The sequence below is a fragment of the Homo sapiens genome, chromosome 6, assembly GCF_000001405.40.
Source record: "Homo sapiens chromosome 6, GRCh38.p14 Primary Assembly".
Classification (NCBI taxonomy): Eukaryota; Metazoa; Chordata; class Mammalia; order Primates; family Hominidae; genus Homo; species Homo sapiens.
In genome coordinates this window covers 139,010,330-139,027,145 of record NC_000006.12, presented here as the reverse complement: position 1 = coordinate 139,027,145, position 16,816 = coordinate 139,010,330, and the positions used below count along the sequence as shown (strand labels likewise).

Sequence of the window (16,816 nt, the reverse complement as noted above, 5' to 3'; positions counted from 1 at the left end):
AAGAAATAGGTTACTTTACCTAAAGAAGTAAACATCCTTGTTAATATAAAAATAAACTCACCCAAAAGATACTTTGTTTACACATGTGCTAAACTAAGTATAACACAAGCTTTATGTTAATCTATAAGGAATTACAATTTAAGAAAATTGTTTTGTCGGCTGGGCGCAGTGGCTCATGCCTGTAATCCTAACACTTTGGGAGGCCAAGGTGGACGGATCACCTGAGGTCAGGAGTTCGAGACCAGCCTGCCCAACATGGCAAAACCCCGTCTCTACTAAAAATACAAAAATTAGCCAGGCGTGGTGGCACATGCTTGTAATCCCAGCTACTCTGGAGGCTGAGGCAGAAGAATCACTAGAACCCAGGAGGCGAAGGTTGCAGTGACCCAAGAGCGTGCCACTGCACTCCAGCCTGGGCAACAGAGTGAGGCTGCATCTCAAAAAAAAAAAAAAAAAAAAAAAAGGAAAGAAAAGAAAAGAAAAGAAAAAAGAAAGCTGTTTTGATAAAAGAAATATTAAAAAATCTTAACTAATATTTTTCATATCCAATCCTAGTCCTTCAATTTCCAAATAGACTTTTGTTATCTATTCTTATTCCCTCAGGAATATCATCATGTACAATGTAAGCAATGTGGAAGTTTAACCTAAAAAGAAAATAATACAATTTATCAAATTAAAGAGTATTTAATATATTTTAAATAAATGTGCCAGCCACAAAGTGCCAATACTAAATCGTCCAAAGTAGCCCATGACCTGTCCTTTGTCAAACAGAACTGCAAGTAATGTACATTTGAAATATTAAAACAATCCTTATCCATGTATTTAATTGCATGCATTGTAATTTAATTGCATGTATTTAATTCGGACCAGCACTGTCCGAAGGAAATAAAATTGTGAACAACACGTCCAATTTAAAATTTCTAGTAGCCACATTTTTTTTAAAAAGGTGAGATTTATTTTAATAATATGTTTTATTTCACCCAGTATATCCAAACTACTATCATTTCAACCTGTAATGGATATTTTGAAATTATTAATAAGACATTGTACATTCTTTATTTCATACTAAATCTTGTAAGTCTATTTTGTATTTTACATTTACCCAACATTTCAGGTGCTCAATAGCCTTCTATGGCTAGTGGCTGCTGTATTAGACAGTGTAGCTATAGACAATTCCAGAATAAAGCGTTATATTATATGCTAATACTTTACTTAAAAACTTATTACATGTTCCTGGAAGGAGAAAAATAACACTATGATATTTAAACACTCATGGAAAATCGAAGTCATTATTTTAAAAATGCAGTTGTCTGCACTGTAATGAATAGAAAAAACTTTTCTATTTTTTCCTCTATCTTAGAGGATCTCTAGGATGGCAATTCCATCCTGGGTATATACCCAACAGAAAAGGGAGATACATTCACCAAGAGACATGTACAAAATATTCACAGGAGCACTGACTGTGCATATTTCTTTCTTCTTCTTCCTTTTTTTTTTTTTTTTTTTTTTGAGATGAAGTTTCGCTCTTGTCACCCAGGCTGAAGTGCAGTGGCGCAATCTTCACTCACTGCAACCTCGGCCTCCCAGGTTCAAGTGATTCTCCTGCCTCAGCCTCCTGAGCAGCTGGGATTACAGACATGCACCATCATGCCAGCTAATCTTGTATTTTTAATAGAGATGGGTTTTGCCATGTTGGTCAAGCTGGTCTGGAACTCCTGACCTCAGGTGATCCACCCACCTCAGCCTCCCAAAGTGCTGGGATTACAGGCATGAGCCACCATGTCCGGCTGTATTTCTAAAATACATAATATTTCTAAAATACAGTGACTCAATCCCCCAATAACATCAGAATAAATTGATAAATGTGGTACATTCATATAATGGCCTATTATCCACCAAGGAGAAAAACAACCAACAGCTGCATGCAACATGATGAATCTCACAAATACAGTATTGAGTGAAATGAGGGTGACTATTATTCCTTTACACAAAGTTTTAAAAGCAGGTTAAACTAATCAGCAGTGTTGGGAGTTAGGATAGTGGTTATTCCTGTTGGATAGTGAAGGGTAGTGACTGAGAGGGGGCACGATAGTGGCCTTATGAGGGGCTGATAATGCTCTGCTTCTTGACCTGTGTACTGGTTACATTAGTGTTTTATTTTTAAGAATTCATTAAGCCAAATACTTTAGATAAATATGTATACATATATATGTATGTATATATATGTATGTGTGTGTATATATATATGTGTATTTTTTCCTGTTTTAAAAAATAAAACATTTTTTTAAATAAAGTGTAGTTGTCAGGCTATGCTTAAGAAATATAGAAAATAAAAATGAAGAATAGAGTATCATGATCAAGCAAGGCATATTCCAAGAATGTAGGGATTATTCAACAACATTGAGAAATGTAATAATCCCATATGGCCTTATCTCCAACTTTTATCTCATTCCTTAAAATGAGGTTTCTCATTTGGGCTTGTCATTCTAGTTCAGAATGTCATCACCTTGTGCTCTCATTTATGAGGATAGCAGTAATAATGATGGTTACATGTCTTGGGCACTAGTTCTTGATCCAATTGTAGTATGGCTTGAGTGCCTTAGATGATACGCAGAAGTAAAAGTAAACTCTGTGCCCTTAAGAAATAATGTAAAAAGAATTATACGCCATAAGCAAGTGGGATTTCTCCCAGGAATGCACAGTTGCTTCAACTTATAAAAATTAATGTTAAATAATTAATTATATTAATATATATAAATTAAATAAAGAGAAAAATCCACATAATCATTTTATTAGATGCAGAAAGAGCATTTGACAAAATTCATTATCCTTTCATGATTAACTGGGAATACAAGGGAACTAGAAATGGAAGGGAATTTCCTCAACCTAATGAAGGGCTGCTACAAAAAAAACACAGTAACATCATACTTAATGGTAAAAGACTGAAAGCTTTTCCCCTAAGATGAAGAACAAGACATGGGTGTCTGCAAAAGAATCCACTAATAAGCTAATAGAACAAATAAACTAATTCAAAAAGATTGCAGGATATAATATCAATATATAAAAATCAGATGTATTTCTATATACTAGCAATGAAAAATCTGAAATGAAAATTTTTTTAAAATTCTACTCCAATAACATCAAAAGGAATTTTTGCACAGGCAACAAAAGCAAAAATAGACAAAAGAAATGATATCAAACTAAAAAGCTTCTGCACAGCAAAGGAAACAACCTACAGAGTGAAGAGACAACCTGTAGAATGGGAGAAAATATTTGCAGACCATACATCTGATCAGGGGTTAAGACCCAAAATATGTAAGGAATTCAAACAACTCAATAGCGAGAAAACAACCTGATTTTAAAATGGGCAAAGGCACTGGGCACACCTTTAATCGCATGTCTGTAATCCCAGCACTTTGGGAGGCCGAGGAGGGCTGATAGCTTGAGCCCAGGAATTCAGGAGCAGCCTGGGCAACACTGTGAAACCTCTTCTCCACAAAAAAAGGCAAAAATTAGCTGGGTGGGTGGTGCATGCCTGTAGTCCCAGTTACTCAGGAGGCTGAGATGGGAGAATTGATTGAGCTCGGGAGGCAGAGGTTGCAGTGAGCCAAGATCATGCCAGCACACTCCAGCCTGGGTGAAAAAGGGAGATCCTGTCTCAAAAAAAAAAAAAAAAGGCAAAGAACCTGAGTAGACATTCCTCAAAAGAAGCCATACAAATGACCAACAGGCCTATGAAAAAAATGCTCAACATCACTCATCATCAAGGAAAAGCAAATTAAAATCACAATGAGACATCACCTCACACCTGTTAGAATGGTAATTTTCAGAAAGGCAAAAGATAACAACGTGTTCCGAGGATGTGGAGAAAAGGGAACCCTCATACACGGTTGATAGGAATGTAAATTGGTACAGGCATTATGGACAAGAGTATGGAGGTTCCTCAAAAAATTAAAAATAGAGCTATCATGTGATCCAGCAATGTCACTTCTGGGTATATATCCAAAGGAAATCAGTATCTTGAAGAAATATCAGGCCAGGCACAGTGGCTCACGCCTGTAATCCTAGCGCTTTGGAAGGCCGAAGCGGGTGAAAGATTAGAACTCTTTTTTTTTTTGAGACGGAGTTACGCTCTTGTTGCCCAGGCTGGAGTGCAATGGCGCAATCTTGGCTCACTGCAACTTCCACCTCCTGGGTTCAAGTGATTCTCCTGCCTCAGCCTCCTGAGTAGCTGGGATTACAGGCATGCGCCACCATGCCCGACTGATTTTTGTATTTTTAGTAGAGACGGGGTTTCTCCATGTTGGTCAGGCTGGTCTTGAACTCCTGACCTCAAGTGATCCGCCCACCTCAGCCTCCCAAAGTGCTGGGATTATAGGCGTGAACCACCGCACCTGGCCTAAAAGATTAGATCTTAAAGTTTCTTACAACAAAGAAATGATAAGTATGTAAGGTGATGATATGTTAATGAGCTTGATATAATCATTTTACAATGTAAACATATTCAAAACATCACATTGTTCACCTAAATATATTTTTTGTCAATTATACCTTAATACAAATTTTAATACTCAGAAAAAGAGAATAAAATGCTTAGTAGTAAGTTTAATTAAAGGAATGCAAAATTTGTACACTGAAGACTACAAAATATTGTTGAAAGAAAACTTTATTTAGAAAATCTAATCAAATAGAATGACATCCCATGTTCATAGATTGAAACACTTAATATTGTGGTGATGACAACACTCCCTCAAATGATCTACAGGTTTGATGTTATCCCTATCAAAATTCTAACTTACTTTTCACAGAAATTGACAAGCTGATCCTAAAATTTATATAGAGATGAAAGCGACCCAAAAAGTCAAAACAATCTTGAAAAAAAAAACTAAGTTAAAGGACTCACACTCCCTGATTTCAATTTGCTACAAAGCTACAATCAGTGGTACTGGCATAAGGATAAACATATAGATCATGGGATAGAATTGAGAGTCCAGTAATAAACCCATTCATTGATGGTGAACTGATTTTTCACAAGAGTGCCAAGACCATTTAATGGGGAAAGATGGTATTTTCTTTTTATTTTTCTTTTCTTTTCTTTTTTTTTTTTAGGGAGACGGAGTCTCGCTCTGTCACCCAGGCTGGAGTGCAGTAACGCGATCTCGGCTCACTACAACCTCCGCCTCCCGGATTCAAGCAATTCTCCTGCCTCAGCCTCCGGAGTAGCTGGGATTACAGGCATGTGCCACCATGCCCGGCTAATTTTTTTGTATTTTTAGCGGAGACAGGGTTTCACCATATTGGCCAGGCTGGTCTCGAATTCCTGACCTTGTGATCCACCCGCCTCGACCTCCCAAAGTGCTGGGATTACAGGCCTGAGCCACCGTGCCTGGCCAAGATGGTATTTTCAACAAATGGTGCTGGGTCACTGGATATTCACATGGAAAAGAATGCATTTGACCCCTATCTCATACCATTATATTAAAACTCAAAATAGATTAAAACCTAAATGTAGGAGCAAAAATGATAAAACTGTTAGGAGACACAGGTGTAAGCTTCATGACTGTAGTTTAGGCAATATTTTCTCAGCTATGACACCAAAAGCACAAGCAACCAAAGAAAAAACAGATAAATTAGATTTCATCAAAATTAAAACATCTGTGCCTCAAAGGACAATAAAGTGAAAAGACAACTTACAGAATGAAACAAAATATTTACAAATCATACAACTGATAAAGATCACATATCCAGAATGTGTGAAGAACTCTTAAAACTCAACAATTTTTAAAAATCCAATTTTAAAATGGGCGAAGAATTTAAATAGACATTTTTCCAAAGGAGATACACAAATGGCCAATAAGCACATGAAAAGATGCTTTACCTCATTAGTGATCAGAGAAAGGCAAATCAAAACCACAATAAGATACTACTTCACACCCACTAGGATGGGTATAATCAAAAAAATGAACAATAATGAGTCTTGATGAGGATGTGGAAAAACTTAAGCCCTCATACATTACTGGCGAGAATTAAAATGGTACAGCTTCTGTGGAAAACAGTTTGGCAGTTCCTCAACAAGTTAAATATATATTTTACATTCTTTTTTAAGTGTTACATACATATATTATATATAGGATACATAATAAATATATATATATATTAGAGACAGGATCTCACTCTGTGGCCCAGGCTGGAGTGCAGTGGTATGATCATAGCTCACTACAGACTCCAACCCTTGGACTCAAGCGATCCTCCTGCCTTAGCGCCACGCCTCAACCCTTAAGTAACCAGGACTACAGGCACACTCCACCACACCCAGCTAATTGTTTACATTTTTTTGTAGAAACAGGGTCTCATTTTCTTGTCCAGGCTGGTCTTGAACTCCTGGCCTCAAGCAGCCCTCTCATCTTGGCCTCCCAAAGCCCTGAGATTACACACATGAGCCACTGTGCCCAGCCTAGATTTTTCATTCTTTGATCCAGCATTTCCATTTTTGGTTATATACCCAAGAGTACTAAAGGCATATGGGCTGTGCACAGTGGCTGATGCCTGTAATCCCAGCACTTTGGGAGGCCAAGGCCGGTGGATCACTTGAGCCTAGGCACTCAAGACAAGCCTGGGCAACATGGTGAAACCCTGTCTCTACAAAAAATACAAAAATTAGCCAGGCATGGTGGCACGTGTCTCTAGTCTCAGCTTCTCGGGAGGCTGAGGTGGGAGGATCACCTGAGCCTGGAGAGGCTGAGACTACATTGAGCCGTGATCACACTGCTGTGCTCCAGCCAAGGCAACAGAGTGAGACCCTGTCTCTAAATAAATAAATAAATAGAATGAAAGCATATGCACACACAAAAACTTGTACATAAATGTTCATAACAGCATTATTCATAATGGTCAAAAGGTAGAAACAACCTAGCTTGTGAAGAAATAAAATGTGGTACATCTACACAATAGTTTATTACTCAGCCATAAAAAGGAATAAATGCTGATACATGTTATAACACAAATAAATCCTGAAAACATCATTCTAAATGAAAAAAGCCAGAACAAAAAGGCCACATATTGTGTACCTTTATTTATATGATAGCAGATAAATTCAGATCAAGCAAATCCACAGGAAAAGCAGGTGGATTTGTGGTTTTCAGAGGCTAACAGGAGGTAAGCAGTTATTTGGTGCAGAGTTGGTGTGTGTGTTGGGGGGAGGTGATTTAAAATGTTCTGGAATTAGATAGTGGTGAAGATTGCACAATCTCGTGAATACACTAAAAACCGCTGAATTGCACAGTTTAAAATGGTGAATTTTATGATATGTGAATTATATCTCAATTTCATGTTTTTTTTTAAAAAGAAACAATGGGAAGACAAGACTAATAGATGATTAATAATTAAAAGCTAAATCAGAGAGCAAATAAAGATAATTTAGCTGAATTTTTTTTTTTTTTTTTTTTGAGATGGAGTCTCGCTCTGTCACCCAGGCTGGAGTGCAGTGGCATGATCTCAGCTCACTGCAAACTCTGCCTCCCAGGTTCACACCATTCTTCTGCCTCAGCCTCCCAAGTAGCTGGGACTAGAGGCACCTGCCACCACGCCTGGCTGATTTTTTGTATTTTTAGTAGAGTAGGGTTTTCACCGTGTTAGCCAGGATGGTCTCAATCTCCTGACCTCGTGATCCACACCCCTTGGCCTCCCAAAGTGCTGGGATTACAGGCGTGAGCCACCACGCCCAGCCTGAAAAAAATCTTGAAAAAAAGGATTGATTAGACTGTTCTAGGAAGTTGTTGCATGTCCCCACTGCTGCTTTATTCATTCATTCATTTATTTACTCATTCATCAAATATTTATTGGAAACCATCATGTGGCAAGTCTCATGTGTCTCCCTCCCAAAACTTGGTCAAAGACAACAAACTCCTCATATGAAGGAGGATCATTCTTTGTCAAATGAAGATGAGGACTCTTCTAAACTGGCTTATTATACTATATATCACCATTATTTCTAGAATTTTCATGGAATTTTCCGGTTTTTCTTTTATCCTTCCTCCATATCTTGCTTTATTGTTTTTTTCTCTTCTCTAACTCCCAAATTGGAAACAATGTCTTCAACAAAGCTCTTTAATTGTAAGATGTGGAAACATATTAAACTAGCTCCAGTAATTGAGTTATTGAAAGGTTACAACAGAAATTCTCATGGACATCCAAGAATAAGAAACAAAAACATTCAAGTGACCTTGGCCTTAGAATGGAAACGTTAGGACCAAAGCATTATTGTCTCCCATGAGACAACTCTCTCTCCCTCCCTCCCTCCCTCCCTCCTGTCCTCCTTTTACTACATGATTTCTAATCCCTACCAGCTCCCCCATAACTGATGTTGCAAATGGCCTTGGTCTCCTATGGCACAGCCTGTACTGACAACCCTACTGGTAATGGTTCAACTCACCATTACCAAATGAATACAGTCTTTTAGTATCTTAATTCCAGACTTTTTTTTTTTTTTTGGAGACAGGGTCTCACTCTGTCACCCAGGTTGGAGTGCAATGGCACAATCATAGTTCACTGCAGACTTGAACACCTGGGCTCAACCAGTCCTCCTACCTCAGCCTCCCGAGTAGCTAAGACTACAGGCGCACCACCATGCCCGGCTAATTTTTTATTTTTTATAGAAATGAGGACTTACTACGCTGTCCAGGCTGGTCTTGAACTCCTGGGCTCAAGCAATGCTCTCACCATGGCCTCCCAAAATGCTGAGATTACAGCATGAGCCACTATGCTTGGCCTCCAGATTCTTTAAAGAGAGAACCTAACTGACCTAGTTTGGATGGATTGTTAGTCACGCTCCCCCCACGCCCTGTCAAATCTGCTATGCCCGCTACTAGGGCTGCTCCTTCCAAAAGAGATGCATGAGATCGTTTCTCTGTGAAGGACCTGTGGGAGAGGAGTCACCCCTACATATGTCTAACACAGAAAACAGCAACTCTTATTGTTCAGTAAGTAGCTACTAGACCCACATGGATATTTTCTTTTTTATTCCTTTTTTAAAACATTTTTTAGAGACAGGGTCTTGTTATGTTGCCAAGGTTGGTCTCAAACTCTAGCCTCAAGCGAGCGTCCCGACTTAGCCTCCTGAGAAGCTGGGACTACAGATGAGATACATGGCACCTGGCTCTAATTTTCATTTACACTTAAATTAGTTAAAATGAAATAATATTAAAAATTCAGATCCTCAGTCATAGTAGCCACATTTCAACTGCTCAATTGCCACAGGGGATTAATGACAACTGTATTGGATAGCACAGAAATTTTCTACTGTCTGAGAAAGTTCTACTGGACAGAGTTGTTACAGATGGTAAAAACAACAACAACAACAAAAAAACCCCACAGGAACATTGCTAAGAGTTCTAAGATGATAACCACTATTTATTTTCCAATTCATCCCCCACTTTCAACCCACCAGCTAACACATTTACAAATAACCTTTTTTTCTAAGCCTCCTAATCTTCTGATAAGAAATCTAAACGATTACCCCAAAATAATCCATCGAAAAGGCAAAATCTAGGACAGCCCTAGTCAGTTTGGGACAACTAGTCACCCCACCCATGTTTCACTTCTTTTTTGTAAACTTCTTTCATTCAGTATACAGTCCTTCTACTTCGTTTTTTCTGAGTCTTTGTTGTAGCTCCAGTAAGAGAGAGGCTACATTATCCTTTTTTGAGCCTAGGCCAAATGGTCAGTGCTGCCAACTGAGAATAAAATTTCCAGATCATTAAATTCAGTCATGAGGGCTTAAGTGCTAGGTGCAAAGAGCAGCCAGGCAGGCAGCTGTGGTGATCACAGTGGAGTCAGGGGTCAAGGAGGGCACCAAGAAGCACAATTTCTAACCAAATGTCTAAGGTGCTGTCTCGGGAGTCTACAAAGCCTAGAGTGGAAGGGGTTAATGCCACAAAGCATTGCAGTGGCAATTAATCTGACTACATATTAGGATCACCTGCCAAGCTTAAAAAGCAGTACCTAGGACTCACTCAAACCAATTAATTCAGAATCTCTGGGACACCCACGTTTTAAGGTTCCCAAGTAATTCTAATGCGCAGTTAAGATCGAGAACTACTTGGTCTAGACAAGCTTGTATAGCCAGCAGCCAGTGAAAGCTCACAGCAGCAGCTGCTCCAAGGAATTCAGAAAAACTTCTGCTGCTTTTCAGCTAGAAGGGCTCACTGATGTCTTTCTAATGTATCCCACAGAATGTAAAGTATCTCTGCTGCTCTCTTCCTGGGCTCCATCATTCATGGTATCCCTAGGAGGGGCACTCTCTCAGGATGAACAGAGGACAGACTTATACCTCGGCAACGCAGAGGCCCAGCCACATTGCAAAATTTAAGGGGTGCTCAGGAGTGTCTCTTTCACCATAAAATATCTCTACACCATGAATTTTCACCTGGAATTCCAGTATTTACACATACAGATTGCTGTCTGTATATGTATATACACACACACAAACACGTCAAATAAGCATGCAGTTTCTGTAGAGACAGGCAAATAACAGTGATTGAAATAAGCCTGGCTGACTTCCTCTTTTGAAGGGGGAGCTCCTATTCAGCTGCATGTGGGAGTGTATACCCAGTGTTACTAGACTGTACCATTTTTCAAGAAAAGATAGAAATCTGGATTTTTTGAAAAACCAAAACTTTCCCTTTAGAAACAGATGCGGCAACTCATTAAAATGTTTTAAAAACAATGTCCAGGCCCAGTGAAATCTTACTGCAGGCTGGAAAAAGTCCCTTCAAAAATAGAAATGTCTTTGTGAGTAGCAATGGAAGATTTCCTTTCTCTTATCTCTCTGTTGGGAAATTTTTCTTTTTCTACAAAGCAAATATTTCCTTCAGTTTATTCATGAATCCCTCCCTCAATCCTGCTGAGGGCTCAAGATTCCGTTTTCTCTTTGTCTTGAGATTTTCAGAAAGTACTTGAAGTTTGCTGCTTCTTTCCTTCACCACCTACCATTTATTTCACTACTTGTAATCTGGCTTCTACCTTCACCTTTATTCTTCCTTCTTTTTTTTTTTTTTTTTTAAGATGGAGTCTTGCTCTTGTTACCCAGGCTGGAGTGCAATGGCGTGATCTTGGTTCACTGCAACCTCCCTCTCCATTTCAAGTGATTATCCGGCCTCAGCTTCCCGAGTAGCTGGGACAGGAGCCTGCCACCACGACCAGCTAATTTTTTATTTTTTTATTTTTAGTAGAGACAGGGTTTCCCATGTTGGCCAGACTGGTTTCAAACTCCTGACCTCAGGTGATCCACCCACCTCAGCCTCCCAAACTGTTGGGATTACAGGTGTGAGTCACCGCACCTGGCCTACCTTCACCTTCTTACTAAAGCTGTTCTCTCTAGCCTAAGGTCACTAATGACTCCCAACTGGCAAACACAACAGCTTGTTCCCATTTCTTAATATTCTGCAGCTCTCCATAGCACTGGACATTGTCACCAGTCCCCTCAGTCACGGTCATCCCTCAACATGGAGACTAAGTGGTTCAGGCATACTGCTGGCTTGGAATCTGGGCTGCTGGAGATCGGGAAGAGCCCACTCCAGCTTCCTTGTGTCAGAATCTCTAGAGAGCTTCTTAGAAATGCAGAATGTTAGACTTAGAAATACAGAAGTCTGCATTACATGAAGTTTAAGATGCTCTGTTCTGGGCTACCCTTCAGTCTAATGTCAGGTTAATTTTCTGAAAGTACAGCTTCAAAATTTCCACATGGTCTATTAAATCAAATATAAGCTTTTCCCATCTTTTAAAACCTTCCACAACTTGACCACTATTACCTTCCAGAGTCCTGACCCTCCATTGCCATCTGTGATACACCACGGATCTATCAAACTGCACTATATCCTATTCCTGCATCTGGTCCAGACTATAGTGAGGGCATGGGGTGGAGACCAGTTTTGTTCTGTAAATGTTTATTTAGTATGTTCTTGCCTTCCTGCCTTTGCTCTGATTGTTCCCTCTGCCTGCTGAGTCCTCCCCTCCCACCTTACCTTTGCCTACTGAAATCCAAGGCCAAACTTCAGTGCCAGCTCTGGCACTGAAGCTCCATGTGCATGTACAAAGCAGAGGTGACCCAGTCACGCGGGCTGGCTGTAGTTCTGTTTGCATGTGTTCTTGGAAAAATTACAAACCCCTATGAGCCTCAGTTTTCTATTCTAAAACTTAGTGATAATGAAATCTGCTTGCAGAGTTGTTGTAATGGAGAAATAAAATTGTGTGTGTGTGTGTGTGTGTGGTTTTTGTTTGTTTGTTTGTTTGTTTGTTTGACACAAAGTCTCACTCTGTTGCCCAAGCTGGAGTGCAGTGGCGAGATCTTGGCTCACTGCAACCTCCACCTCCTGGGTTCAAGCGATTCTCCTGCCTCAGCCTCCCAAGTAGCTAAGACTACAGGCACATGCCACCATGCCCAGCTAATTTTTGTATTTTTAGTAGAGACGGGGTTTCACTGTTTTGGCCAGGCTGGTCTTGAACTCCTGACCTCGTGATCCTCCTGCCTCGGCCTCCCAAAGTGCTGGGATTACAGGCGTGAGCCACCATGCCTGGCCAAAATTGTGTTTCTTATTTAAAGTATCCTTCCTCATTGCAAAAGGATTTGAGGAGAAATGAACTAATATAGAAAGCATACCCAGCCCTGCTCCTCTTCCTCCTGTCCACTCCGCTTGGTGTCATATCCCCCTCTTGGGAGTCTTACAGCACTTTGAACTTCTTCTGGAACAGTTATCTCGTGTCACTTTTTTTTTTTTTTTTTTTTTTTGAGATGGAGTCTCCCTCTGTTACCCAAGCTGGAGTGCAGTCGCACAATCTTGGATCACTGCAACCTCCACCTCCCGGGCTCAAGTTATTCTTCTGCCTCAGCCTCCCATCTCATACCACTTTTATGTAATGCAAATATCACCCTCACCTTGACTGTACTCAAGTTCATGATTCCATATCCTCTAGGAAGTTCAATGCTCTTCCTTATATTTTTGGAAATTCTTGGGATGTATGTTCTCATGCTTTCTGCTGGTTCCGAGTTCTCTAATTCCAGTTACTTCTCACATTTCATGGATGTTCAACCATTTCCCCCAAAAAACAGGCATGGAAGAGCTCCATTTCTTAATTTATTCCCCATATCAACCTCCCCCCACCCACCCAAGAAAAAAACTAGCATTTGGGGCTGGGCATGGTGGCTCAACCCTGTAATCCTAGCACTTTGGGAGGCCGAGGCGGGCAGGTCACCTGAGGTCAGGAGTTCGAGACCAGCCCGGCCAACGTGGTGAAACCCCGTCTCTACTAAAAATACAAAAATTAGCCAGGCATGGTGGCGTGTGCCTGTAATCCCAGTTGCTGAGGCAGGAGAATCGCTTGAACTCGGGAGGCGGAGGTTGTAGTGAGCTGAGATCGCACCACTGCACTCCAGCCTGGGCCACAGAGTGAGACCCTGTCAAGAAGGAAGGAAGGAAGGAAGGAAGGAAGGAAGGAAGGAAAGAAGGAAGGAGAAGGGGAAGGGGAAGGGGAGGGAAGGGAAGGAAAGGAAGGAAGGGAAAGAAAGGAAAGGAAGGAAAGAAAAAAGAAAAGAAAGAAAAGAAGAGATGTCCTACCTATTTCAAAATCCCTTCAGGTGCCCCCCACCCCACCTGTGGACTTGCTCAGGGCCCCTGCTCCTCCCAGCTCCAGCCTCCTACCTGCTGCCAAGCCCTGTCCTCACCAATCCCTGTCTGTTTCCAAGTTCCTACTCCTCAGGCACCAGAACTTCCAGTTCTCTCCTTTGTTACACAGAGCAGTTTAGTTTTCTAGTCCAAAATCCAAACCCTCATTAATGTGCTCTGCTGGGAACACAAAAACAAACAAAAACAAAGCACCTTTGCCTCTGACCCTTGGGCATCTTGGAAGACCTAGCAGAGGCTTCACAATTTATCTTTTTCCCCTTTATTTCATTTTTCTTTCTTCTTTTTTCTTGCCCATCTCCAGCACTAAATCTCTATCAGTGAAAGTAAGCTTTATAGCAACTTGTTTTCTCAGTGATGTGAATTATGGCAACCCTCTTAGAAGACAAAGGTGCTAAATGTGATGTTTTAAATAACATATTTATTTAAGCTTGTATTGGAACTTGTACCATAGTCGTTTCCCCTTTAACTTAGACTACAGTTATTGAGGGTGGACAATGTCTTATTCATTTTGTGTCTTTGCAGTGCTTGGCCCCATGCCTGACAGGGAGTGGGCGCTCAATAACTGTTTAGTTGAATGGACTTGAGGGTGGACTATCTAACCTCTTGACCCTCCTCAGGGCTATTTGAAATGAAAGATTAGATGTATGAATCAATTATCTTAGCCATTATAGACTAAATATCTTTTTAAATTTTCACCAAAATTTAAACAAATTTCTAGGGAAGAAGTAATGTTTTAAAATTTACTATGTATTAAATACATATAATTATCTGCATTTGTATTCCATTTCCACTGTCTTTTTAGTGAGATCAATGTCTAGTATCTCTACCCTTGCTGTCTCTGGATCATATTCAATTGAAAGAAGCCACTAAAATTTGTAAAAACTAGTTGCATACATTTTTGATGGGCTAAAGTGGCAAGTAATCACCACAATAAAAGTTTCATTGATATTCTAATTTCCAATACGATGTGAATTTTAAATATCATTAATTGCATGTAAAATTATTCATAACAGCTGCCTTTTAGCTATCAGTTATTAGTAAGTGGTCATAATACACATTTATTAACTCTTCCTGAGAGAAATTACAGAGACAACAGAATTATGGGTTGATATTTTGTGAACATAAATTTAAAAGATCTACAACAGTAAATTTCTTAAGTCTTTTGGCAGTCTTTTCTATATATTTAATTGAGGGATAAAACAGCAAAAACATGTGAGGGAGGAACATAGACCGCATTCTTTTCTTCTTGGTCTTAGCAGTGTTGATTAAAGCTGTTTAGGGTGTTCTAAATATAAGCCCTTGGAATTCTTTGATAGAGATTTTTTTTTCTAGAACGAATTCCAATCTCTTCACTGATTTCTTAAACGCTCACAACATGGTTTTCATTGCCACAAACTTCCTTAAAATAGCTAATTGCCTTCCTTGGGCTTATGAAGTCCAATTGAGTTTGACAGGTTATCACTCAAATATTTAGATTTCAATTTAAAAATTCAAACATCTAGATGTTTCTAGATGGGTTTCTTTTCTAAGTATTTAGGTGGCTTTGGGGTGCTCCTTCACGTATGACACATATCAAGAAGACTGATTAATGTTAACCAAGTGTATAGAAGATTTTGTTTGTTTGTTTGTTTGTTTTTTGAGACAAGGTCTCACTCCGTTGCCCAGGCTAGAGTGCAGTGGTGCCATTTCAGCTCACTGCAACCTCTGCTTCCTGGGCTCAAGTAATCCTCCCACTTCAGCCTCCTGAGTAGCTGGGACTACAGGTGCATGCCACCACGCCCAGCTAATTTTTGTTTTTTTGTTTTGTTTTTTGTTTTTTGGTAGAGACAGGGTTTCGCCATGTTGGCCAGGCTGATCTCAAACTCCCGGGCTCAAGTGATTCGCCTACCCTGGCCTCCCAAAGTGCTGGGATTCCAGGTGTGAGCCACTGCGCCCAGACAGAAGATTGTCTTTGAAACATCAATATTAGTATACAGTAAGAACTTCAACTGTAAGAAAAATTATGTTATCCATCTAGGGTCATCTATGATCTACAAACAGTATTGCTGTACATTCAAAATCAGATTGTCTTCAAAAAAGTGGTTTTAATATTCATAGAATTAAAAACAGAATAACTTGGATTTCCTAGTGGTTAATCTAATTCCCAAGATATTAATAAGATTTAAAGCTTATGAGAGAAAAGAAGGACGATGAGTAGGTATGAATAGTAATGCAAAAATTTAATACTAGTATTTTGGCAGTTCAGTTATAGTTGTCAATGGTAATTATAACCATTAAACAAACATTTATTAAACAAATATTTATTGAGTACCTGCTGTGAACTTAATAAGTCACTTTTTCTCCCTAGTAAGGGGTTTTTGGTCTGCTATCTAAGACCATTCACTCTCTGGTATCTACTAGATAATGCTTGACCTAAAATTCTCTAAGTCCCTTATTAAACTCTCTCTTCTCAATACTTCACAATGATCTTCAGAAGCTTTTGTCAGGTTGTTAAACTATTGTTCTGTCCCCCTCAAGGGCAGAGAACCTCTGATAGCTAGCTAAATCCAAGCTGATTTGCAAACCAATTAAGGCTAAAGATGCCTTGAATACACATGGGGTGAGGCAGCCATTTGTGTGGAAAGATTTGAGATAAGAAAGATCTTCTACTAAGAATACCAGTTGCTGGCTGCAGTGGCTTATGCCTACAATCCTAGCCCTCTAGGAGGCCAAGGCAGCAGGATTGCTTGAGCCCAGGAGTTTGAGACCAGCCTACACATCATAACAAGATTTCATCTCTACAAAAAATTAAGAAAAAGGCCGGGCACAGTGTCTCATGCCTGTAATCCCAGCACTTTGGGAGACCGAGGCAGGCAGATCACGAGGTCAGAAGATCGAGACTACCCTGGCTAACGCGATGAAACCCCTCTCTACTAAAAGTATAAAAAATTAGCCAGGCATGGTGGCATGCGCCTGTAGTCCCAGCTACTCGGGAGGCTGAGGCAGGAGAATCACTTGAATCTGGGAGGCAGAGGTTGCAGTGAGCCAAGATTGGGCCACTGCACTCCAGCCTGGGTGACAGAATGAGACTCTGTCTCAAAAAAAAAATTAAGAAAAAAAATTAGCCTGGAGTGTTGGAGTGCACCTGAAGTCCTAGC

The 16,816-nt window shown here is 40.0% G+C and overlaps 1 annotated feature.

Moving 5' to 3' along the window:
- Positions 15,784-16,536: an enhancer, noted in NCBI's record as "NANOG hESC enhancer chr6:139331747-139332499 (GRCh37/hg19 assembly coordinates)". NCBI's record gives its function as "activates a minimal SCP1, AML or CMV promoter by ChIP-STARR-seq in naive H9 embryonic stem cells {active_cell/tissue: H9 hESC(naive)}" and the evidence as "EXISTENCE:reporter gene assay evidence [ECO:0000049][PMID:30033119]".